The 23,094-nt window shown below is 48.2% G+C and overlaps 1 protein-coding gene across 2 annotated transcripts in view, besides 3 other annotated features; it reads left to right on the top strand.

The window, feature by feature from the left end:
• XKR6 (XK related 6) overlaps positions 1 to 23,094 on the top strand; it is a 305,789-nt gene that overhangs the window by 109,839 nt on the left and 172,856 nt on the right. The gene's annotated exons all lie outside the window — the stretch shown is intronic.
• Positions 9,916 to 11,115: an enhancer, noted in NCBI's record as "BRD4-independent group 4 enhancer chr8:10938390-10939589 (GRCh37/hg19 assembly coordinates)". NCBI's record gives its function as "activates an origin of replication core promoter dependent on BRD2, P300/CBP, MED14 and CDK7 cofactors, and independent of BRD4, by STARR-seq in HCT116 cells {active_cell/tissue: HCT116}" and the evidence as "EXISTENCE:reporter gene assay evidence [ECO:0000049][PMID:35650434]".
• Positions 18,659 to 19,204: an enhancer, noted in NCBI's record as "H3K27ac-H3K4me1 hESC enhancer chr8:10930301-10930846 (GRCh37/hg19 assembly coordinates)". NCBI's record gives its function as "activates a minimal SCP1, AML or CMV promoter by ChIP-STARR-seq in naive H9 embryonic stem cells {active_cell/tissue: H9 hESC(naive)}" and the evidence as "EXISTENCE:reporter gene assay evidence [ECO:0000049][PMID:30033119]".
• Positions 22,137 to 22,954: an enhancer, noted in NCBI's record as "H3K4me1 hESC enhancer chr8:10926551-10927368 (GRCh37/hg19 assembly coordinates)". NCBI's record gives its function as "activates a minimal SCP1, AML or CMV promoter by ChIP-STARR-seq in naive H9 embryonic stem cells {active_cell/tissue: H9 hESC(naive)}" and the evidence as "EXISTENCE:reporter gene assay evidence [ECO:0000049][PMID:30033119]".

Here is a 23,094-nt window from a genome sequence, read left to right as displayed (position 1 = left end):
AAATTCTGAACCGCAGGGTTTTTGCATAAGAGATTGTGGTGGATCTGTATAAGAAATATAACGCTTTTCATTCATTCAGCAAATATTTATTGAATGCTTACGATGACCTTGGCATTGTGCTGGGTGTCAGATAAAGGAGGAAAAGTGAGTATGAGAGGAGGTGTTGGGGGACTTGAACAGTCCCATGGGCAGGATGGATTTGGGGCCACCAGAGCTGGGCTTCAGTTTCTTCAGTTTCACATGCAGGTAACTCACCCGGCCCCACGGCTGCAGGGCATCACTGCAAATGGCTTCCAAATGTCCTGCTCCACATTTCTAACTCCTCTGTAAGACTTAACACCGGCATCTCAGGGCAGCACATGTAAAACCAACTCCCACTGCCTCCTCCCCTATTCCTGCATCTTTAATGGTACCATTGGACCCCCTAGCCTGGACACAGCCTTCTCTTTGTCCTTGCTACTGGCATCCAGTCATCAGTCAATTCCTCTTGAGTTTTCTTTTCTTTTTCTTTTTTCTTTATCTTTTTATCTATCTATCTATTTATTTATTTATTTATTTGAGTCAGGGTCTCATTCTGTTGCCCAGACTGGAGTGCAGGGTGCAATCTTGGCTCACTGCAGCCTCCACCTCCCAGGCTCAAGTGATCCTCCTACCTCAGCCTTCCAAGTAGCTGGGACTGTGGGCATGCACCACCACACCTGGCTAATTTATAAATAATTTGTTTTTTGTAGAGATGGGGTCTCACTGTGTTAGCCAGGCTTGTCTCAAACTTCTGGACTCAAGCGATCCTCCCACCTTGTCTCTCCCAAGTGCTGGGATTACAGGTATGAACCACCACTCCAGGCCTTTGTCTTGCTTTTTCTCTAGCAATAGCCCTTGCTTGGTTCCTTTCATGCCATTCCTGGTGCCACCTGCTGGTACAGACATGCTTTCCTACCTCTCACCTAAGAGAGAGGATGGCCTAGAAGAGAACTTGGAGGAAGCAAAGGTTATAGAGACCTGGGCTCGAGTTGTGCCTCTTTTCCATTACAGCTGGGTTAACGTAGCACACAGGATCAGTTTTCTCATCTATCAAATGGGGTGATTGCAAGTATTTCATGAATTATAGTTAGGAATAAAACTATATCCAGGACACATGAACACCAAAAACAATCTTAAAAGATAAGCCCCAGATGGTAGGCAGATATTTGCAGGACATAGAACCAACAAAAGATTGGTGTTCAGAATTTATAAAGAACCTCCTTCAACCCAATAAGGAAAAAAAGACCCAATTTATAAAAGTGGGCAAAAAATATGAACAGGCACTTTCTGAAGAGGAAATCAAAAGATCGGTGTATATAAAAAGATGTTCAACCTTATTAGCAATCCAGAAAAATGCAATTAAAACAATAACATACTGTTTCATATCTATCATATGGCATAAAATGCAGGCAAGTGTGTCAAGCACTAATAATGCATACTGCTGCTGAATATGTAAACTGGTTTACTCTCTTTGAGACACCTACCATCTGCTGGTGTCATTGCCAGGACTATCCTTTCCAACATTGCTTTTAGTGGCAAAAATGCTGGAAATTAAGAAAAAAAAAAAACCATTAAAAAGCGACTGGAAGTGGGTGCAGTGGCTCACACCTGTAATCCCAACACTTTGGGAGGCTGAGAGGGGAGGATCACTTGAGTCCAGGAATCTGAGACCAGCCTGGACAACATAGTGAGACCTCATGTCTACAAAAAATAAACTAAAACTCAGCAGGGCCTGTTGGTGCACACCTCTAGTCTCAGCTACGTGAGAGGCCGAGGTGGGAGGATCGCTTGAGCCCAGGACTTTGAGACTGCAGTGAGCTATAATTTGCACCACTGCACTCCAGCCTGGGTGACTGAGCAAGACTCTGTGTGGGAAAATAAAAAGGAGACTGGATAAATTGCAAATATTCATTTAATAGAATACTATAATACTGTCCAACTGTTAAAGCCACATTTGTGTCATCATGGATAAATGTGAAAAAAAGTTGAGTGAACAAAACAACGTAGAATATCTACAGTACAAAACCATTTCCATAAAATTTTAAAACAAACTATTATATATGTTTATGTGTGTGCATATGAATAAGTATATATCTAGTAAGAATAGTAGAATATGCATGGGATTGATTAACAAAAAATTCAGTATAGCGGCTCCTCCAGGAAGGGGAAGATGACGGAGAAGACAGGTTTTACTGCACATTAAGTAATTTATTTCTTGAAAGTAGAACTATGCAAAACGCTAAATTTTGTCAAAGCTGAGTGGGTGTACATGTGCTCCTTGTAATATTATTACCTTTTATTTATATTTGTTGAAATATTTCATTTTTATTTTATTTGGAGACAGGATCTCACTCTGTCACCTAGGCAGAAGTACAGTAGAACAGTCATAGCTCACTGCAGCCTCGAGCTCCTAGATTTAAGAAATCCTCCTGCCTCAACCTCCCTTGTAGCTGGGACTATAAGCATGCATCAATACACCCTGCTATTTTTTTTAACAAGTTTTTTTGTAGAGGTGGGGTCTTGCTGTATTGTCCAGCCTGGTCTCAAACGCCTAGGCTCAAGCAATACTCCCATTTCGGCCTACTAAAACACTAGGATTACAGGCATGAGCCACTGGCCCAGACTACTTCATTTTTAAAAAGCACTCAACCCCAGGCTGGCGTGAGTGTATGATAAATATTGCTTTCATCCCATGCAGTAGGTTTCTAAGGTTTTCTTTTAGCTGACTTGTCGAGTTGCAGTCCCTGCATCTGGCACTCTAGATCAGACAAGGTCTGAACACGCTGGTGGGCCACTTGTGGCCCTCCACTCCCTGGTTTCATTCTAGCTTTATGCTCCAGTGGACCTGATGTTCCAGCCGTAGGGTCCCAGGTCACGTCCTATGCTTTCCTGATCCCTTTGCTTTGGGTTGTGTGGCTTTGTTGGCTGGAATCTCCTGTCCCTTACTCTGACTATATGACACCCCTTTCAAAGCCTACAAAATGTCACCCCATCAATCCATCCATCATGCATTTATTGGGCATCTTCTATGTGCAAGGCACATACAGCCTACCCTGATTTGCCCTGCCACAAATAATCACACCTTTCACAAAATCACATATTGCCTTATACCTCTAACATGGAATTGATCACATTAAAGTTCACTTAATCTTGCTAGGCTAGGCACTGTAGGGCAGATACCATTCTATTCTATTTTAATGCCTTGCACTTACAGGAGCTCATTAAATATTGGCTGAAGAAATAAATGAGTCTCAGATTGTATGTCTAGAACGTTGAAATCAGTGTTAAGATTACAGTTTAATCCTCATCACTTGAATCTAAATATTTAGTGTCTTTAGCTGATTGATTTTAATAGGAGTACCATGCACTCCCTCTTGTCTTTGTCACCTAAGGAAGGAAGGAAAGGTGTTAGGTCCTACTCTGGCCATTCAGCCCTTTCATTTACTGAGAGCCTAGATTCCAGCGTGTACTTCAGGTATGATTTTGCCTCTCTAGGGACATTGCGCTTGGTTGGAGAGGGAAGACAGGGCCACAAAAAATGAGTAACGTGACAAAGCAATGTGAGATGTGGACCAAATAAATAATGCTGGCATCGTGATCTGAAATTGTCCGTAATGAAACAGTTTGCTTTATGCTTGACTGTGTAAGACCATAAGGGGATCTGGGTCAGAATTATCATTTTATGTCAGATTGGGTTTCTGTGAAATCCTTTTTTTGGGAAGGGCTCAAGTAGATATTTAACAATATCTCTTTTACATCTAAGGTGATACAGAGGTGTGGATTTGCAGTGGTCTTCTGATATCACAGTGTTACAAGGTGTCAGCCTGAAATATCTTTCTGACCTGACACTGAATAGAATTTTCTTAGCATTTTTTCAAACAGCCATCTGAATTCTTGAAGCTACTTATCTTGTTTGCATCCCTTTCTTCCTACTACATTCCTGGAAAACAATTTTCAATCTGACAGTGGCAATACTTTATGTTTTCAACAAATCAGGTGCAAGTTGTTTGTTTTAATGGCTTTTCCTTATCCAGGTAGGCTCTTTGGAAACTTTGGGTGGATGAGGTCTTTATGCAGACTTCACCCTTTAAAGGACAGAAATCTCTGCTCTCTGCCTCCTCCTTCTCCTCGAGCATTTCTAGTGACGGAAACTCACTACTTATCAGTGGAGATGACCTTTGCGTGTGAGATCAGATGTTCACAAACTGAAGAATGGGTTGGGCTCTCCCCAGGAAGTTGCTGGATATGTGACTCTAGGATTAGCTAATTCAGTAGCTCAGAGATGACATTGGAAGTCCAGGTTCCCTCCATCTTTTTGCTCTGCCGTCTTCAGAATGTTAGGCTGGTTCCCTTGGTGGTTGCAAGATGCTTTCATTGTTCCTGGTCATCATTTTGAGACCTGACCATGTCCAGAGGAAGGAGAGGAGGTCTCTTCCTATATCTCTCTTTAAGAAAGAAGAAACCTTGTCCATAAGCCTGCCAGCCTTCTCCATGTCTCCTTGGCCAAACTTCATCACGTTGCTGTGCGGAAAGTTAATCCCTGGCCAGAGGAATGGGACTGCTGAGATTGACATGAGCAAATTGGAATTCATCCTGAGCCTGAGGTCAGTGCCCTTCCCCGAGGGGTGGAAAGGAATCAGGATCAGGGTCCTGTTAGCAAGGAAGAAAGGGAGACGAGCATGTGGACGGTTCACCAATAGTGGAGGCCAAGTGGGATCTTTGCTGGGACAGTGGTTGAATGCCTCCTCCAAGGGTAGACTTAGCGATATTTCAACACCAAAGCCTCACACTGTGGTGTTACAGGATTGGAGAGGAGGAAAAGAGGTGAGCTATAGAGGAAGACTTGTAGAGTGTACAAGAGTTTAGAGCCAGAAACAGAGTAGAGTGAGGGCAGGACTGGGGAGAGAGTTCAGAGGGGAGTTCGGGGTTAATTGATTCTACTTGCCCACACGTCAGCCCTGGAAGTAAAGGCAGAGTTTCATGGGGCCCATCTCAGCTTCCGAGAGACCATGGAGCCACTGCCTGGAGATCGCTAAGAAGGTGGGACTGATCCCTGCGGGACAGGACTGGCCGGGTGACCTCCGACGCCTCTGTTCTGTTTCGAATATTTCTAGTGTTAAATCTTTTCAGAGGATGCTGGCAGCAGCCGTGCCACTGCCTCTATTAGCAGCAGAACAAGCTACTGTGCTTACTTTTCATTTGAAGTCTCCCTTTTCACTGGAGAGGCAGCAGGATCTAGAAAAGAGATAGGATCAGAGTGGGACACTGGAGACTTGGATTATATTCCTCCCGCTGCTGGGGGTTTACTTTGTAGCTGAGGTAAGTCACTTAACCTCACCGCATCTTTCTAGTGTGTGCAACTTGACTTATTGTCATTGAAAGCTTTTTATTCTATCTGACATTTTACACTTGTCAGTCTAGGGTTGCCTTCATGTGGGCTGGGCAGGGTGTAGTGTGTTCCTCCCGTTAGGAATGACTTTCCATGGCTGTGATGATAAAATGACAAGGTGTGAGGCTGATGAGCGTCTCCGTGTTGAAAGCCCACCTCTGCTGAAGGCTGCCATTTATGGATAACAGCGAATAGCACCCACTGTGTGCCGGGCACATCCTCGGCCCGGGCTTTGGGCTGGGTCTCATGAGTCCTTTAATATCCAGAATGTCCTGCAGGTCAGGCCAAGTACAAGCTCTATGTTTGCCTGTAATGTGATTTTCTTTCTCAGATAACTAATTTACATTTAAGCAACTGTTCCTAAGCCAGTGAGTTGATGCATTAGCAAGAATCTGGATCAGAATTATGAATTATGCTTGTTTTTTTTAAAAAAAAATATATATATATATATTTTCTTTTTAAAAAAACACAATTGAGTTCTGGTCCTATTCTTCCATGAGGGAAAGTGGGCAGCTGGCGGGACCGTGAGAGTGTCCTCCGGGGCACTCGGGCCCCCTGCCAAGGAGGAGACTTTGATTAAGAAGCTTAGAGCTTAAGTGAGTGATTCTCAAATTCTAGTGAGCACAGCAGTCATCTGGGAAGTTGGTGGAAATGCAGATTCCTGGGTCCCACCTGCAGACATTCTGACCCAGTAGATTTTCAGCATTCTCAGACTCCCTGAGTGACGCAAGGTAGGGCATCTGCAGGCCCTTGCTCCGGCGGCAGTGGCTTCGAGCTGGGGTATGAGGAGGAAGGGGAGAGACTGGTGGAACCAGACCGTTGCTGTCCCAGGGCCATGCTGACGGTCTGAAATTGGACTCTTCAGAGGAGAGGCCTGTGGGAGGCCTGCCCGATGCTGACCAAGGCAGGGCAGAAGGGAAGCCTCATGGGAGACCATCCTATGGCGGGCATTCTTTCCTGGGCACCCCAGTGAATAATCTCCCGCTCTGGCCCCCTCCTCGTCCAGCAGTGCCCACTCCCCATTCTCCTGCCTCTGGCCAAGATCACTTAGGAGATTGGTATGAGGATTAATGCAGCCCACGCATGCACAAGCACAGACATGCACACACACACACATGCACATACATACACACACACACACACACCTCTTTCACCTCTGACAAGCATACACTTGGCACTCTCCGTGGGCTAGGTCCCCTGCAGGAGGATGTGGGCTTCTTGAGAGCAGCAACCGCACCCCATGGCATGTGGCAACCAGAGCAGGCACTCCAAGGACCCTGTGAGTGAGAGCACGTGCTTCGCCTGTTGCCACAGTTAGAGAGACAATGAGGCTCCCACCTAGCATGGGGGCCGCAGAGGAGGATCTGAGAGGGTGATGGGAGGAAGTCTGTGTGATGCCCACAGAGATCTGTGCCAACTGCTCTTGGGTGACAAGAAGGGGAGGTAGTGCCTGGGAGGCCAGGGAGTGCTGCAGAGGAGACCCTGGAAGGAGGAGGCGGAGGAGGAAGCCAAGGGGACGAAGGAAGGCTGGCAAAGGCTGGATGGAGGGATGAGCTGGGGGGTGGGAAACTGCAGGTGCACCTGGATGCAGGTGGTTGCGGGGCATTTACCCTGGGGATGGTGGTGCACCTTGGATGCTGTTCTTCAGCAGATTTCTTTTTGTAGGAGTAAGGCACTGTTTTCTTAGGAGCTGACCAACTGCAAATATGTGAGGAAGACCATGGACAGTAGAGCTCTTTCCCATCGAGTGTGAGTAACCTTTCCCTTCCCTCCAAGCTGGCAGCAGTCCCACCTCCAACATAGAAAAGTATGGAGAACCTTCTCTGAGCCTTGGGAAATAGCTAAAATGTTACTGGCAAGTGCTTCTTTCTAGAAGGGAAAAAATAGCTCCCACACATTAACTCTGAAAGCTGAAGTCTGGTAACTTATCTCAAACAGACTTGGACTGAATAAGAAATGCACCAGGCTGGTGGGTGGAGCTCTAAATTTACACCTTAATCTCATCATTAAGATCGGATAAGATGTTTCATTAGCGGTAGGTGCTATGTAAATATGAAGTGCTTTCTGAATAAATATTTTCTTTTTTTTTCCTTCCAAAATTAGGAAATGCTCTATGGTAAATAGTGCAATTCTTAGACAGGAGAGTTTTATTTTAAAATGACGGTATAAATCATATCTGAATTCTGGGAAGTGCTAAGTGATTCAGCCTTAAAGCAATATAGTAGTTTCTATTTGTGCCCTGGAAAGTCAAGCATGGCTGAAATCGTATGTGGCAAATTGCTCAGAATTACCGGGAGCAGTGTACGCAGATGGCGTTCTGACCAGATTTCCAACTCTCTTGGTTTGGTAGATATCAGTGGTTGAAGTCATAACCTAATTAGGTCAGTAAGCACTGTTTGTGGATAAACCAAACTGTGGGAAGTCCGATCTGGAAGATACCCAGGCAATCACACAGTGGAACTTAGTGTATCATTGTGGAAACTGAGGCTTAGAGGAAAGTATCCAAAGCCATGCGGTTGTGGATGGGGCAGACACAGGGCTGGAAGCCAGGACTTAGGGATTCCCATTTAGGATCCCTTTTTCTCCAGATTCCTAATGTTTTTCTTTTAATGTTACTTATTATAAAAATAATATAGTATTAAAGGAGTTTTTTTTTTTAACGAAACAGCAAACTTACAATCTGTCTCAAGAACTTTATTCATTTCTGCATTTCCTTGCAAAAATTTAAAACATGTAATCATAGTGGGCATACAGTTCCATGTTCTCTTTCTTAATACATTCAAATCACTTCCTGATATGGTGGTGTGCTTTTGACAGTTACTTTTACAGCAGCTTTCCAGATCTCTTATTGATACTAAGCATTCCCTTCCTATTGGACACTTAGATCGCTTTCAGATTTTTTGACTTTTACGTATAATTGTGAGATAAATATGCATTTGGCTTTTTCTCTATGAACTCATTCCTGTCCTCTCTCCTCATTGAAGCATCCCCAGGCCCCCCAAGGGGAAACCCAGCCCAGCACTGGTGAAGTTTTGCATTCCGAAAATGCAAAACTTGAAGCGGGGAATAGCTCAACGGGGGGTGTAATAAAAAGAGAATCCGGTCCCACATGAGGATGCAGCCACCTGTCAAGTCCCAGGGGCGATCGGTGTGAGGGCGCAGTGGTGACATTCCCTGACAGGTGGCTCCCAGCTGCCTTTCAGGTTGTGCATCCCCAGAGCTTTCCTTGTAATCTGGGGAAAATTGCACCGTGGGTCGGTGTATGGGGAGGTAGGGGAACAGGAGGCATTCCCATTCCTTCCTCACTCCTGTAAGGCCTTCCAGGGAGTCACTGAACTCCAAGTGGTGCGACTAGGTGAATGTGCTGAGCCATGTGTGTGGTGGATAATGGCAGTGTGCAGAGGAGCCCCACGGGCACTTTGAAGTGCTGGGCTCCCACTGGCTGCCGAGACTCGGAGAGGGAGGCTTGGAGAGTGGCCTAGTTCTGCAGCAGCCCCCGAGTTCCAGAGGAGACTCACAGGATCAGAAACCTCAGGGCAGGAGGATTCTAAAGCACACGGAGTGCTGTGCGCTGCCTGTGCAGAAAGGGCTGGGAAGGTGAGGCAGGGAGGAAGCCCTGCCTAGGGCTACCTGGCCGCAGCAGCTATAAAGACGAGAAATAAATACAGAAATAGAAATAATAGAAATACTTGAGGCCACTGCCTGGGACTCCACTTTCCTGCTCTTGGGCTTGTCTTCAGTTCTGCAACCATGAGACGTCAGAGCTTTAACATCACTCAGTCTCCTGCTCAGGAGAGTGTTCGAGGACGGCCCAAAGGCCCAGCCCAGTGGCCAGGCTCTGTCAAACCTGAGCTGTGTCCCAGTTAAAAGGAACTGAGGAAAGCCAGGGTCCTAAGGGCAGAAGGGTGACTTTGGGGACTGCTGTTGGGACAGAGGACTCTTGTTTGACTTTCTCCCAGGCTGCAGGCTGAATCCCCCATTATTTGGAGGAGGAGGAGCCAGGTGGTCCGCCACCTCAAAGAAGCATGTAACCTAGTCAGAAGGACAGACAAGACGGTCAGAGACAACGCAAGAACACCAGAGGCAAGCTGGGTCTGGCCACTCTGTGGCTTATGCAGGCCTCTCTGGGCACTGTTTGCCCGGTGAAGCTGCCAACCTCTTTGGAGAGGAGAATAGAGATATTATCTCAGCTGAGGTTTACCAGCTGTCTTAACCAAGCCCTTCCAAAATTGACCAACTCTTGCTCCCACATTCGTAACGGGGTGCAAAGTGATTGCACATGATATTGAGCCCCACGTAGACTTTGGGAGATGTTCCAGACTCCTGGTTCTTAGCAAGATGGTAAAGAGTGGAGCTGGGCTTCAGAGATGCCCCCCGAACAAACAGGAGAGGACCACCTTTTCTATGTACAGAGCAGAAATTGGCTCCTTGAATTTCCTCTGCCCAGGTCACAGCTCCTCACCCGACGGCAGCATCTTCTGGCAGTGGAAGGAGGTGAGTCTCTGTCTGCAAAGCCTACACCAGCCTGGTCTGACTGCTAGCTCCCCTCCAACTGGCACCCTTGGGCATGCACTTCCTTCCAGGTCTCAGGCGAGAGGGTAGGCCGACAAGAGCATCCTCCAGTGGGAACAGAACCGTGAACCACCCACTGCCTGTCGGGCTGGTTGGCATCCAGTCCCACCTCGAGGGGCAAGGACCATTTTCCTTTGTTGTCTTTGACACAGGCCAAGAGGCAGCAGCCCAAGTGACACCAGGGAAACAGTGGAAATTCCACTGATTCCTAATGAACACTTGCAGAATAAGCCTCTGACTGACTAGTGCCCATTAAAGCTTCTCTCTCTCTCTCCACTGAACTGACAGAGACTATTCTTGTTTACATCTCCTTTGGTTGTAAGTTTCCCTTTCAACTTGATGATCAGAACTTGGAGTCAGAGCCGTGGGGAAAGGAAGAAGAATTCAGGCTGAGTGAAGTTACTGCCGAGGACTTGTCCAGACCTGCTGGTGTGGGAATTTCCTGAGATGGAAGAGCCCCAGGAGAGGAAGCAAGGCAGATGCATTTAATTTCTCGATTAAAATGAATTAAATGTCCACATTTTGATGTGTGATCAAATCACATTTGAAACACACTGGGCCAAATATATTTGTGATGAACTGTCGTGCAGATAATGAAAATCATTTCAATAAAATTCTCATCCGTGCTAAGACCTTAATCAAGGGATAACCTATTTGACATTGGATGACAGATAACTGTGTAATTCTACCCCTGCAGGAACAGATTCATTCCATATGAGTGTTTAATGCATTAGGAAGCCGAGGTCAAGCTAAAGGTAAAGTCCATCTGCTGGATTTTCCTGGTACCTTCTAGTTTTCTGTGGAAGCAACAGTTTTCACAGAGGGATTTTAGTGCTTTTCTTAAGTATCCTTACTTTTCTCAGAATCCGGCTTTAGCAAAATCATGCCATTTTGAGGTAGACGGCTTCTTGCAGTCCTTAGAACAGTATGTTGCTGCTACCTAAAGTTAATGGTTTCACCTTTATTGAAAGTTATGCAGTGGAGGTCTTTGTCCCAAATAACTACAGACCTTTGAGTTTTCTTCTTGATTATTTGCCATTGATATGTCCTGTGAATTTTTTTCTCCTTGTCATACGGATCTTCTTTTGTGATCCACAGTTTTCACGTGTGTACAGTGGAGGTGATAATATCTCTATTCTCCTCTCCAAAGAGGTTGGCAGCTTCGACCGGCAAACAGTGCCCAGAGAGGCCTGCATAAGCCACAGAGTGGCCAGACCCAGCTTGTCTCTGGTGTTCTTGCGTTGTCTCTGACGGTAGTGTCCCTCTGACTAGGTTACATGCTTCTTTGAGGTGGTGGACCACCTGGCTCCTCCTCCTCCGAATTATTTCCTAGCGTAAGCCAGTGCTCAACAGAGACCTCTTGGCCTACTGGCTGGACAGAAGTAGGCTGTGAAGGTGGCTTTGGAGGCCACCTGGGGGCCTGCCCAGACTGTCACTGTGATGATGAACTGGGGACAGACTCACAGCAGTGGCAAGTGTTGACTTTACATCTCCAAAGTTTTGATTATCACTGTCTGCTGTTTAGAGAACAAGAAATAGATAAATAGTTAAATTTCTACAATGAGCCCAATAATCAGGTCAGAGGAATTGCAGAAGATATCTCTTTTGACATGTACTGATCTCTTTTTTTTTTCTCCTTCCCCACCCTGTTTCTAAAGCCTGTCCTTTCTTATAAAAAGACACCTCCCTGATTTGGCATAGGCTATAGCTTGGACAAATTGTGTGAGAAGAGATCTCTCTGTGTTCGTTTGCTTGAAGCTCTCTGATTATGGGGACTTAATGACTAGGGGAGCCCAGGGTTTTCTCTTAAGGCAAAGGACCAAAAGTCTGTGTCATCTAAGAAAATTCAAGTGGGTGTGTTTTTTTTTTTCTTGCTTTCTGAGGTGGGTCTCTGCAAAGAGTTTAGTGAATTGCTCACTCGAAAAATGGACTGATCTCAAGCATGCACCCTTGTTTAGAGGTGTTTGGGGACCTTTTATGATTATTTTATTTTTCAACTTTATTTCATTTATTTATGTATTTATGTATTTATTTATTTATTTTTTGAGATGAGGTCTCACTCTGTTGCCCAGGTTGGAGTGCAGTGGTACAATCATGGCTTACTTGCAGCCTCGAACTCCTGGGTTCAAGTGATCCTCCTGCCTCAGCCTTCTGAGTGGCTGGGTCTACAGGTGCACGCCACCATGCCAGCTAATTTTTTAAAACTTTTTTGTAGAGATGACAAGGGGTCTCCTTATATTGCCCAGGCTGGTCTCAAACTCCTGGCCTTAAGCAATCTTGCCACATTGGCCTCCCAAAGTGCTAGAATAAGAGGCATGAACCACCGTGCCTGGTCCCTTATTGGTTTATCACAACAACGTTACCTGGTCTTTCTAACACAATTCCAAGAAGTACATAAAGTGAAACCAATATTCTTTCTTCCTTGCCCCTTTTCCTGATGCCATTTCCTTTTTCCCCTTCCAGAGGCGACAGCTACTAACAATTGGTGCAGTGTAGACTTCCAAATGATCTTATGTGGATGCTGCATCAAAACCATATGCAGATAGACAGATTTTATTTTACAAAAATGGGATAATAGTCACTATATTGTTCTGCAATTTGCTTTATCCACTGTGGACAGTTCTTAAGTCAAAAATAGAATTCTGCTTCTTTATTTTTAAAAGCTGCACTTACTCTATTGTTCAGCATACTTTAATGCGCCAAAATGTGTTTATTTATTCCCCAATTGATACAGTTAGGTCATCTCTCATTCCCTGCCTCTGACACACACACTTCCTCTTGCCATTGCAGACAAGCCAGGAGACACACACAGAGCTCTGCCCCCTGGTATCTCCTGCCCAGAGGCCACTTTTTCATGGGAAGAAGGAGGTGTTTCCTCCCTGGGAGCAGGTGGCTAGGGATCTGCACTCTGTTCTCCTGCACAGCCTTCTGCCTAGGAGGGGCAGAATTCAGGTTGCAGAAGGGTTGGGGTTCTTATGGCCCTGCAGCGCCCTGTTCCTCTAGTCTTGCTCCTTCTTCCTCGCCCCGGAGTGGTCCTGAGGTGACCCAGGTCCCCTTTGCCTTGGCCATTGGAAGATGTGTTTGGCCATCAGCCTAAGTTGGCTGAAATTGACGGCTCATGAGGATGAGGCCTCTGGCCCCCCTTGGGAGGCCTTGCTTGCCATGGGAGGGTATGTCCACTCTTCTCCTATGGTGCTGAGACTGGAGGCCTGTGGGGCTGGATGGGTTGGCGTCACTGTCCTCTCTCGTCATTCTGGGCCTACCCAGAATTTCCTAACGGGTCCTGAAGGCCAACTGCTAGCACCTTCCTGGACTGCTGCTGAGCCCAGCCTTCGTGCTGTCATGGGGGGCCTCCATCAAGCACCCTCTTGTCTTGAGACTCGCAGGAAGGGAGCCACAACCCTCAGGTCCTGTCAAGGCTGCCACTCTCACACCCCATTGCACTTCCTTCCCCAAATCCTCTCTTCCTTAGGACTCAAGGATTCACCAGTGACCTCAAGGTTCCTGGCAGATGGGAAGAAGCCTTGCCTCACGTGGGGTCAGCAGCACGTGGAATAGTGGGGAACACACAGGCAGAATGGCAGACGGTACCTGGTGGATCCCAGCACCAGTATTTAAAAGCTGTGTGCCAGCATGAATATTTGAAAGCTGTGTGTTCTTGGGCAAGTGGCAGGAGCTCTCTGGGTCTCATTTCTCTGTAAGACAACATCCCTTAGACTCATGGTGCCAATTGAAGTTGACAATGTCGATAAAGTCTCGGGGCACACAGTGAGAAATTCAATAAGTGTCAGTTCTTCTTTCCCTCTGGAGTTCCTTCCCCTACTTCATCCTTCCAAATGAAATTTTAAAAATAGGTCTGTCTTCCCAGTACACTCCATGAGACTGAATAAATCCTAGAGTCAGGCACCAAGAGAGGCTGCAGAGTATGTTTTCCCAGAGGGCTTTAACAGCGCCACTGTCGGAAGTGGTTTGGGGTCAGGCTCAAGGTCAGCATTGAGGTCCTTCCATGGAGGGTCAGTGCTTGTCAGGTCTGCCCACCCAGAACCTCCCCTGCCCAGCAGGGCCAGCCCGGCGGCCAGTGCAGGTAGACACCGGGAGGCTGCTCCCGGATTGAGCCTCTCTTCTGTGGATCCCCTGGGTCCCCGGTCTGATGATCATGCCAGGGTCCCCCTCTTGTGACTACAGCAGCAGCAGACTCCATTTCTGCTGACACAGATTGGAGCGGTTGCCATGGGGACCAGAAACTGTGCCCAGATGCATTCTTGCAGCTGGGAAGACAGGATGGGACTCCTCCTGGAGAGGCTGGAGGGTTCCCACTTAATAAGAGGGAGCTGGGCGGGGAAACAGCCACAGGCTCCTTCCTCAGCTGTTCAGCAGCTTCAGCCAAAGACCAAAGGGAGTCCAGGCCTCGAGGGTCACCTCCTCCTGGAGATTTACAGGACCCAGTCTGGTGCACAGTGAAGCATCAGGCCTTTGCCTGACCCTGAGCCACCAGCTTTCTCCCATGCCCTCCTCCTTGAGTGAGCTGCATGTAGAGAGGAACTGTTCACTGAGGGCCACAGTCTCATACTCAAAGTGCTTGAGACTCCACGTAAGGGAGATGACCTCACAGAGCGCCCCAGGGCTGCAGGCACCCCATGTGACCCTGCAGCCACTCTCAGGAGGGGCCATGAGTGTCCACACTTTCTGGATGGTGCTTGAAAAAATGAAATGAGTCTCCCAAGGCCACACAGGTAAAGAGGCCACGCTGAGGCTTTGGACCCCAAAGCCACTGCACGCTGCTGCTTGGGCTTCCCGGCAGCTGGACACAATGCTTTATGCTTGTGGTTTTTCTTAGAGACAGAGTCTTGCTCTGTTGCCCAGGCTGGAGGGCAGTGGTGTGATCATGGCTCACTGTAGCCTCAAACTCCTGAGGCTCAAGTGATCCTTCTGCCTCAGCCTCTTGAGTAGCTTGGGACTACAGGCATGTGCCACCATGCCCAGCTAATTTTAATTTTTTTGTAGAGATGGGGTCTCACTGTGCTTCCTAGGCTTGTCTCAAACACCTGGGCTCAAGCAATCCTCATGCCTCAGCCTCCAAAGTGCTGGGATTACACGCATGAGCCACCGCGCTCAGCCAGCTCTCCATGCTTTGAATGGACGAAGGAATCAAACTATTACTTGTAAAGGCCTGAACTTTCTTGTCCTTGGGATTCAAGGTAGCAGTGGGCACGGGACTGCCTGTCCTCTGCGGGCCCAGAGTTGGCCAGGCCACTCCAAGGAGGCTGCCATCGCTGCCTGCGCTGGCTGAGGCCCCGGATCCTGGCTGGACTCAGCTGGACCCTTCCTTACTGTCCTCTGTGGCTTTCTTCGGGGCCTGCCCTGTGCTGGGGGCGCTTTGCTACTGTGTCATTATTAGGTATTGGCATCAATTTATAGGTTAGAAAATTGAAATTTAGAGAGATGAAGGAGGCTGAGGTCGCACAGCTCACGAGACTCTCACCTAGTCCCTGGCCTGACTCCAGGCCTTGGGTTCTTCTAGTGCCTCATGGCGTCACTGCTCCTCTGCTGATGGGGTAAGGGTCAGGCTGGGACCCAACAGGCAGGAAATATGGATTCAAGTCACGATCGTAAAATATGGTAAAATATGCATAATATAAAATCTACAATCCTAACCAATTTTAAGTGTATGGTTGAGTTGTGTTAAGAACATTCACCTTGTTGTGCAACCATCACCACCATCCACTCCAGAACTTTATCGCTGTGTAAAACTAAAAATCCACACCCATTAAACAGCACCTCCCCATTCCCCTTTCCCTCAGCCCCTGGCAACCCCATTCTACTATCTGCCTCTATGAATCTGACTCCTCTATGGACCTCATATAAGAAGCATCATATAGTATTTGTCATTTTGTGACGGGCTCATTTCTTTCAGCATACTATCATCGAGGTTCGCCCGTGTTGTAGTGTGTGCCAGAATTTCCTTCCTTTTTATGGCTGAATAATATTCCAGTGGATGGATGGACCATGTTGGGTTTCTCCATTCATGTGTCAAGTGACGCTGGGGCTGCTTCCATCTTTTGGCTATTGAGAATCATGCTGCTGTGAGCACAGAGTACAAATATCTCCTCAAGATCAAGTTACGTTTTTTTTGGGTCGGGGGGACAGAGTCTCGCTATGTTGCCCAGGCTGGAGTGCAATGGTGTGATCTCAGCTCACTGCAACCTCTGCCCCCCAGGTTCAAGTGATTCTCCTGCCTCAGCCTCACGAATAGCTGGGACTACAGGTGCTCACCACCACACCCAGCTAATTTTTGTATTTTTAGTAGAGGCGGGGTTAGCCAGGCTGGTCTCAAACTCATGACCTCATGATCCACCCACCTCAGCCTCCCAAAGTGCTGGGATTACAGATGTGAGCTACCGAGCCTGGCCAAGTTACTTTTTTGAATCAGTAAATTGAGAACAGTAGTATCTACTCCATCCACCTGCCAGATTGCTGTGAGGATTGAGTTGTGAATGTGGCTGGAAGTGCTTTGTGCTTAGGGTAGGGGTCATGATAGTCTTTCCTGTCATCAACCTGGGCTGGGAAGAGTCAGCTTTTGCCAAGAGGAATCAAGCACCTACCGGGTGTTTCTGGGAACAGTTTCCTCAACCCCTAACCCTGGAAGGAGCTTCATTGGCAGAAGAGAGACTGACTTGGACATAGTAAAGGGATTGCTCGGAGGGCAGAGTGAGCAAAGTCCAGGCTCTTTGTCGGTGCCCCATCTGCTTACTTCCGGAGTAAGACCAATCAAGGGGACTAGGCTCAGATTTCTCACTGAGGGACTGTGGCGCCTTGTAGACAACCACCCTTTTTTTCCCCAGAGTTCAAGCCATGGCAGGGTTCCTGTGCTCCCCACATGATGGGCTCCTTATGGGAGCCTCTGCAGGGCGGGGGCAGCATCCTCTTCCCTCCCCACCTGTACTAGTGCCCCAGCCTCCAGGGAGGGTGCCACCAGCCAAGTCCTGTGGGCCATTCAGAGCCTCTCCTCTCCCCAGGCTCTGCTCTGCGTCCTGGTCTGGTCTGCTGCCCCATGGGGACACTGCAGAGTTTTCCACTGCCCTAGAGCAGCTTTTCCCAGGGCTCTGCCACTCTGCTTCCCTCATCCTGGGTCTCAGTGCTGTTTTGCTCATCCTGCTCCCAGAGGGCAGCTGCCCACAGATGCTCCAGCATGAGAACTTCATTCAGCGACAGTTTGTGATCCTATCACAGAGGTCTGGTGTGCAGCCTCTACTTTGGAACCCCAAAGCACCTGGGCCCACCTCACTGGTAGCACATTCCACTTCGCCGTCTCTCTGCCTCTCTCCCACCTTGGACTGTGTGCTTCCTGGGGCAGGGGTGATGTCTCCAGTGCCTGGGTTTGCTCTGGTACATACCAAGTGCTCAGAGAATGTTTGTTGATGGAATGAAGGACTCCCCTACTAGACAAATGCTTGAGGGATGGACCTCCATAATCACCTTCATTTCTTTCTTCATTGCCACATTCGGCATAGTGTCTGGTATCTGGCCAGTGCCCAGGAAATGATTGATTGAATAAATGAATGAAACATGAGGCCAGAGCCTCCATCAGCTCTGGGCAGGGCTGGGCAGTCTTGCAGGCTGGATCTTGCTGGTGCATCGTCAGTGTCACTAACTCAACACTTACCACAGTGACCTGGCAGTGGCCATGGGGCCATGTGGGGGCTCCTAAGACAGAGGAGACCCAAGGCCGGGAAACGGCACACTAGACAGAGGGAGCGCAGCTTCTGCAGTTCCCTGTGGCCTGGCTCCTTCCTTTCTGCTCCTGCTGGAGCAGACAGAGCAGCCCCATCGCTGGGGCCGTGAACCTCGGAGAAATACTCAGATTCCCTGTTGCTCTAAGAATAGGCTCAAAGCTGCGTCTTTGAAGATCTTAGCTTTCTGCTCAAAAGCCTTCAGCAACTGAAAGTCTCCAATTCCTAGTCTTCTGTGATGTCCCCCAAATCTCTCTCTCTGCTTTTTTTTCTTTTTTCAATTCTCTTCTTCAAACCAGCCGAACAGACTGCTGGGTGTTCTCTGTGTGTCTGGCTCATTTCCTGGCAGCATTCTGGATTCCACTGCCTGGACTCCCAGCCCACTGAGTGGGTAGGGAAGCCCTGGGTCACCTGCCCAGATTGAATAGTCGGCCTCAAGGGCTTTCGCTTTATTCTGGAATGGGTCCCTGTCTGTCTGTTTGTTTCTCACTGGCCCCTCTCTGTCTGCCAAAGGCCAGCAGAACAAGCTTCTTGGCAAGGCTTCCTACTTCTTAATCCATTTTCACAACCTGTGATTGAACTACGTGCAGTGCAGGTATCAGGATTTAGTGACATCTTTTAATTCTCTATTATTGATGAAAAGTTTTGGTCTGGAAAGGAAAACTGGCTTTGGGATTGATTTTCATCAGTTTAATTCATCTTCAGTATTGATCAGTGCATATGTTACAGCGAAAGACTAAATCTGGGCTGTTTCAAAGGAACAGGGAATGTTATTACCAGAGTGTCCAGGTTTGGGGCATTGTCCCAGGACTGTTGACACCTTAGGCATGTCTCACTCTGCCTTGTATGCCAGTCCTTCATATACAGGTCTTCTTCTCCTCCAAAGACTGTGAGGTCTTTGGAGGCAGGATGCATCTCTGAAATAAACTGACCCCCAAAGACCCAATGTAGTTCCTAGCACATAGGTGACCCTCTGCCAGTGTTTGCTTAAGTGCGGTCTCCAGAGTTCATCAAAGCCCTTAATTATTATGCATCAGGAGGGATCCCAATACTCAACTCATAAAAGGACACATGGATTCCACAGGGACTCGGATTTTGGGAAAGGTGACGATATCAATCAGACAAGCTAATGAATGATTGCCTTTCTCAGGAAAAGATAGACAGGACCCTAAGTCTGAAATGTGCTAATCACAGGGTCCTTTAGCATGTGGGGGCAACTTTTTGTTTGTTTTTGAGATGGAGTCTCGCTCTGTCGCTGAGGCTGGAGTACAGAGGCGCGATCTTGGCTCACTGCACCCTCCGCCTCCCAGGTTGAAGCAATTCTCCTGCCTCAGCCTCATTAGTAGCTGGGATTACAGGCACCCGCCACCACGCCCGGCTAATTTTTGTATTTTTAGTAGAGATGGGGTTTCACCATGTTGGCCAGGCTGGTCTCAAACCCCTGACCTCAAGTGATCCACCCGCCTTGGTCTCCAAAGTGCTGGGATTATAGGCTTGAGCTACCTTGCCTGGCCTAGCATGTGGGGGCAACTTTGGCAGGCAGCCTCAGGCACAGTTCAGACACTCTGGCCACACCTGTTTTGCCCTCTGACCACCAGTGTACCCCCACCCTGACCCATGTGTTGTTGCCTGGCAGGGGTGGCCCCCACCTTCTCTACCCAGAGTCCCAGGGGCATGGAGTTCTCTCCCTTCTCTCTCCACTCAACATGAGACGTGTGGACTTTTGGCTTCATCAGTGCAAGATGCATGACCTTGGGCAAGTCTCATAACTTTCTGTAAGCCTGCACATTTCCTTGTGCAATGTGGTTGTTGAGAGGAGCTCTGCTGCCTCTCCAACAGACCTTACCAAAACAGAGAGGGGGTGGAGCCCTGCTGTCTCTCCAGCAGACCTTACCAAAACAGAGAGGGGGTGGAGCCCTGCTGTCTCTCCAGCAGACCTTACCAAAACAGAGAGGGGGTGGAGCCCTGCTGCCTCTCCAGCAGACCTTACCAAAACAGAGAGGGGGTGGAGCCCTGCTGCCTCTCCAGCAGACCTTACCAAAACAGAGAGGGGGTGGAGCCCTGCTGTCTCTCCAGCAGACCTTATCAAAACAGAGAGGGGGTGGAGCTGAGAGGACGGTATTGGCTGTACAGGTGATTTCTCATCACTGATGTGGGTTGACTGTTGGGTGCCAGAGGGTTAGCTAGAGATGCGGTCACCACAGAGAGCTTGCTCCTCTGGGAAACAGTCAACCCACACACTGGCTTTTGGACACATTGTGTTAAAAAAAATTGGGTGTTTTCTATGTATTTATCTTGGCTGTGTGTTTGTATATTATTCTGGACTTCGAGCTCTTTGGAGGTCTATATATGATCTGATTTTCTTGGTGTAGTGCATATATTCAGAGGACACAGTATTAGGAAAGGAAGAGTGATTCCCTGTGATGTGAACAGAGAGGACTTTCACTTGGGTTATTGCCCAGTGGGGAGAGGGTGCTGGGCCACCTTAAATCACCTTCTTGGGTCCCAGCCTGACCTTGGGCCTCGTATTCATTTGCTAAGACCATCATAACAAACAACATAGACTTGGGGCTCATAGACTCGGGGCTCATAGACTCCGGGCTCATGGCCTCGGGGCTCATAGACTCGGGGCTCATGGACTCGGGGCTCATGGACTCGGGGCCCATGGACTCGGGGCTGATAGACTCGGGGCTCATGGACTCGGGGCTCATGGACTCGGGGCTCATGGACTCGGGGCTCATAGACTCGGGGCTCATGGACTCGGGGCTCATAGACTCGGGGCTCATGGACTCGGGGCTCATGGACTCGGGGCTCATAGACTTAAAGGTGTAAAATGAGGTTGTATGAAACCCTGTCTCTACTGAAAATACAAAAAACTAGACAGGCATGGTGGCGCGTGCCTGTAATCCTAGCTACTTGGGAGGCTGAGGCACGAGAGTCCCTTGAACCCAGGAGGTGGAGGTTGCAGTGAGCCGAGATCATGCCATTGCACTCCAGCCTGGACAACAATAGCAAAACTTCATCTGAAAAGAAATTTTTTTCTTCAGTACCTCCAGGGCCCTAAATGCTGAGCAATGACCACACACCCGTGAGGAAGCTGTGCCTGGGCTGAGACCTCACACCACCTCACTGCTTTGCCCACCCAGGGTCCAGCTTTGAGAATGTGATATGAGTATCCATTAACAAACATTTGCTTTGTTCACGACCCTGTTCCAGTGAATGAGATGAACTGGCCAGGAGGAGATGGCCAACCCTCTGTGTCACCACAGCCGTACCCACTGTGTGCCAGTGACTATGTAGCTTCTTGGGATAGCGCCCCAGTGATGGGTTGGTTGATTTGTTCATTCATTCCTTGATATTCTTACCTGCCATGTACTCTTGGTCTGGTGGGTTCAGCAGGAGGAATGAGGGGCAGCGGGCAGGAAGGCAGAAGGCTTCCGTCTTGATCCTTGGTTTTCCAGTAAGCTGGGAGATCTTGGGCAAGTCACCTAATTATTGATTCACGATCTCTAAATTAGGAAGCCTTTTCTACTTTGCCTCCTATGTAAGGATTTTATGAAGTTCAAATGGAATCATCTGTATAAGTGTTTTATAAACTGTGAAGTGCTATGTAAATGTGAGGAATCATTACATTCACATTTTTATCCCATTTGACCTCCTGCTGTTTTGCCCATTGGGATCTACTAGTGAGGCACTGGCATATTTCAGGATGGAACCAGCCTAAAGACTAGCTTTGGGGAGAGCCTGCTCACTCATTACCTGGTTTTGTGTTTCTTTATTTTGCTTTGCTTTTTAACCACCACCACCCCAAATTGCCCCTTTCTGATCTTCTCCTCCTACCCAAAAATAGGTCCTAAACCCTCAAAGTTTCTGGTTCTTGACTACATATGTGAAATCTAGCAAAAATGTTCCTTTAGAGTCACTGAGGAAATATTTTTTTCAGTGAAGTGTACTGCTACAAACCCAGCTTCTCTCTTTTACCTAAACCTCTCAGCAGGGATTGATGAGGCGTGGATGAATAACATCCATGTTCTACAAAAACATAAACCAAGACGCAGGGCAAATACATGAGTAGTGACAGTCCTGGAGACTACGGGGACCCTAGATGAAAGACTCTTGTCCTCCAGCACTGCCCTGAGGGTCTTCTTTGTATTTCTCACACATCTGTGTTGTCAGGACTCCCATGTCCAGAACCCAGAAGCCAAAACTGTGGGGCCAGGGGAAGGAAGAGTTCTGCTTAATTCATGGCTCAACTTCAGAAGATCCCTTTAGGAAACACTGCTTGGGAAATGCCTGCAGAAGGGCGGAAGTCATGAGGCAGCCTGGCCTCTATTGACTAATCCTTGGGTCAATATCAAGGCCCTCCTGAGAACATTAAAATACCCAAGGTTGACTCCGATAGTTTTTCTCTGATGTTTTCCTAGAAGCTCTCCTGTCACAAAGCTTAGCCTGTCAGTGAGTCTGGGCCACGCCGCATGCTACATCCCCTTCTTGGAAATCCAGTTGCACAGTAGTGCACTGAAGGCTCTGGAGGCTCTGCAGTAAAGAAATCTTTACTGACCCCTGAACTCTCTTGCACCTATGTTCCCCTCTCCCTCTTTATTCTGTTTGCTTATTGATCCTCTCTGGAGCCCTCTTCTGGAAATGTCAGTGGGCTGATGGCACTCTAGGGTGCTTTCTTTTATGCTCAGCTTGGGGGCAGGGGAAGATGGCAGTTGGGGTTAGGGGTATGCCTCTTACATGACCCATCATGAGGGTCATCAGAGGAAGTGGAGGAGGAGAGCAGACAGGGGGCACAGCCATGTGAGCTGAAGCCTGTATGACCCCGAGGTGTGGCAACACAGGCTCTGGCCAGGCTCCAGGGAGGGCCTTGCGGGAGAGATACTGTGGGTGGAGTCAGGGGAGACCGGGAGAGCTGGCATCCTCTGGTGGGGGATGGACCAGGGGGGCTGCTTCTGCTTCAGACTGAGAAAGAACCCCAGGGCTTCTGGGAGGCAGAAGGCCAGAGTCGGTCCCTCCAAATGTAGATTTTTTTTTTTTTTGGCATATCTTTTCAGGTTGGAGAGTGGAACCTGCCTGCCTTATCAAAGACAGTGGGGCCTCTACTCTTTATCCCATTAAGGAGGATCCTAGGGCCATGTTTCTGGGCTGAGCCGCCCCACTTGATGGCAGTGATTGTGGTATCGGTCTCAGCTCTGCTGATGGGGCAAGACTGGGGGAAGGGAAAACATGGAAGGCCCGGTAATCACTCTTGTAAGTTAGCCACAATCAGGACCCCGAGGTTGGGCTGGCCATGGAGCAGTGGGAGAAGTGCCCCATTGAAAAGGAGCAGCCTGGGGAGGGGCAGATGGGAGAATGTAGGTGCAGGAGTGGATTCGGATC

This window comes from Homo sapiens, chromosome 8 (assembly GCF_000001405.40).
Source record: "Homo sapiens chromosome 8, GRCh38.p14 Primary Assembly".
Lineage (NCBI taxonomy): Eukaryota > Metazoa > Chordata > Mammalia > Primates > Hominidae > Homo > Homo sapiens.
The sequence above is the reverse complement of the archived record's forward strand: the minus strand, read 5'-3'. Positions and strand labels throughout refer to the sequence as shown.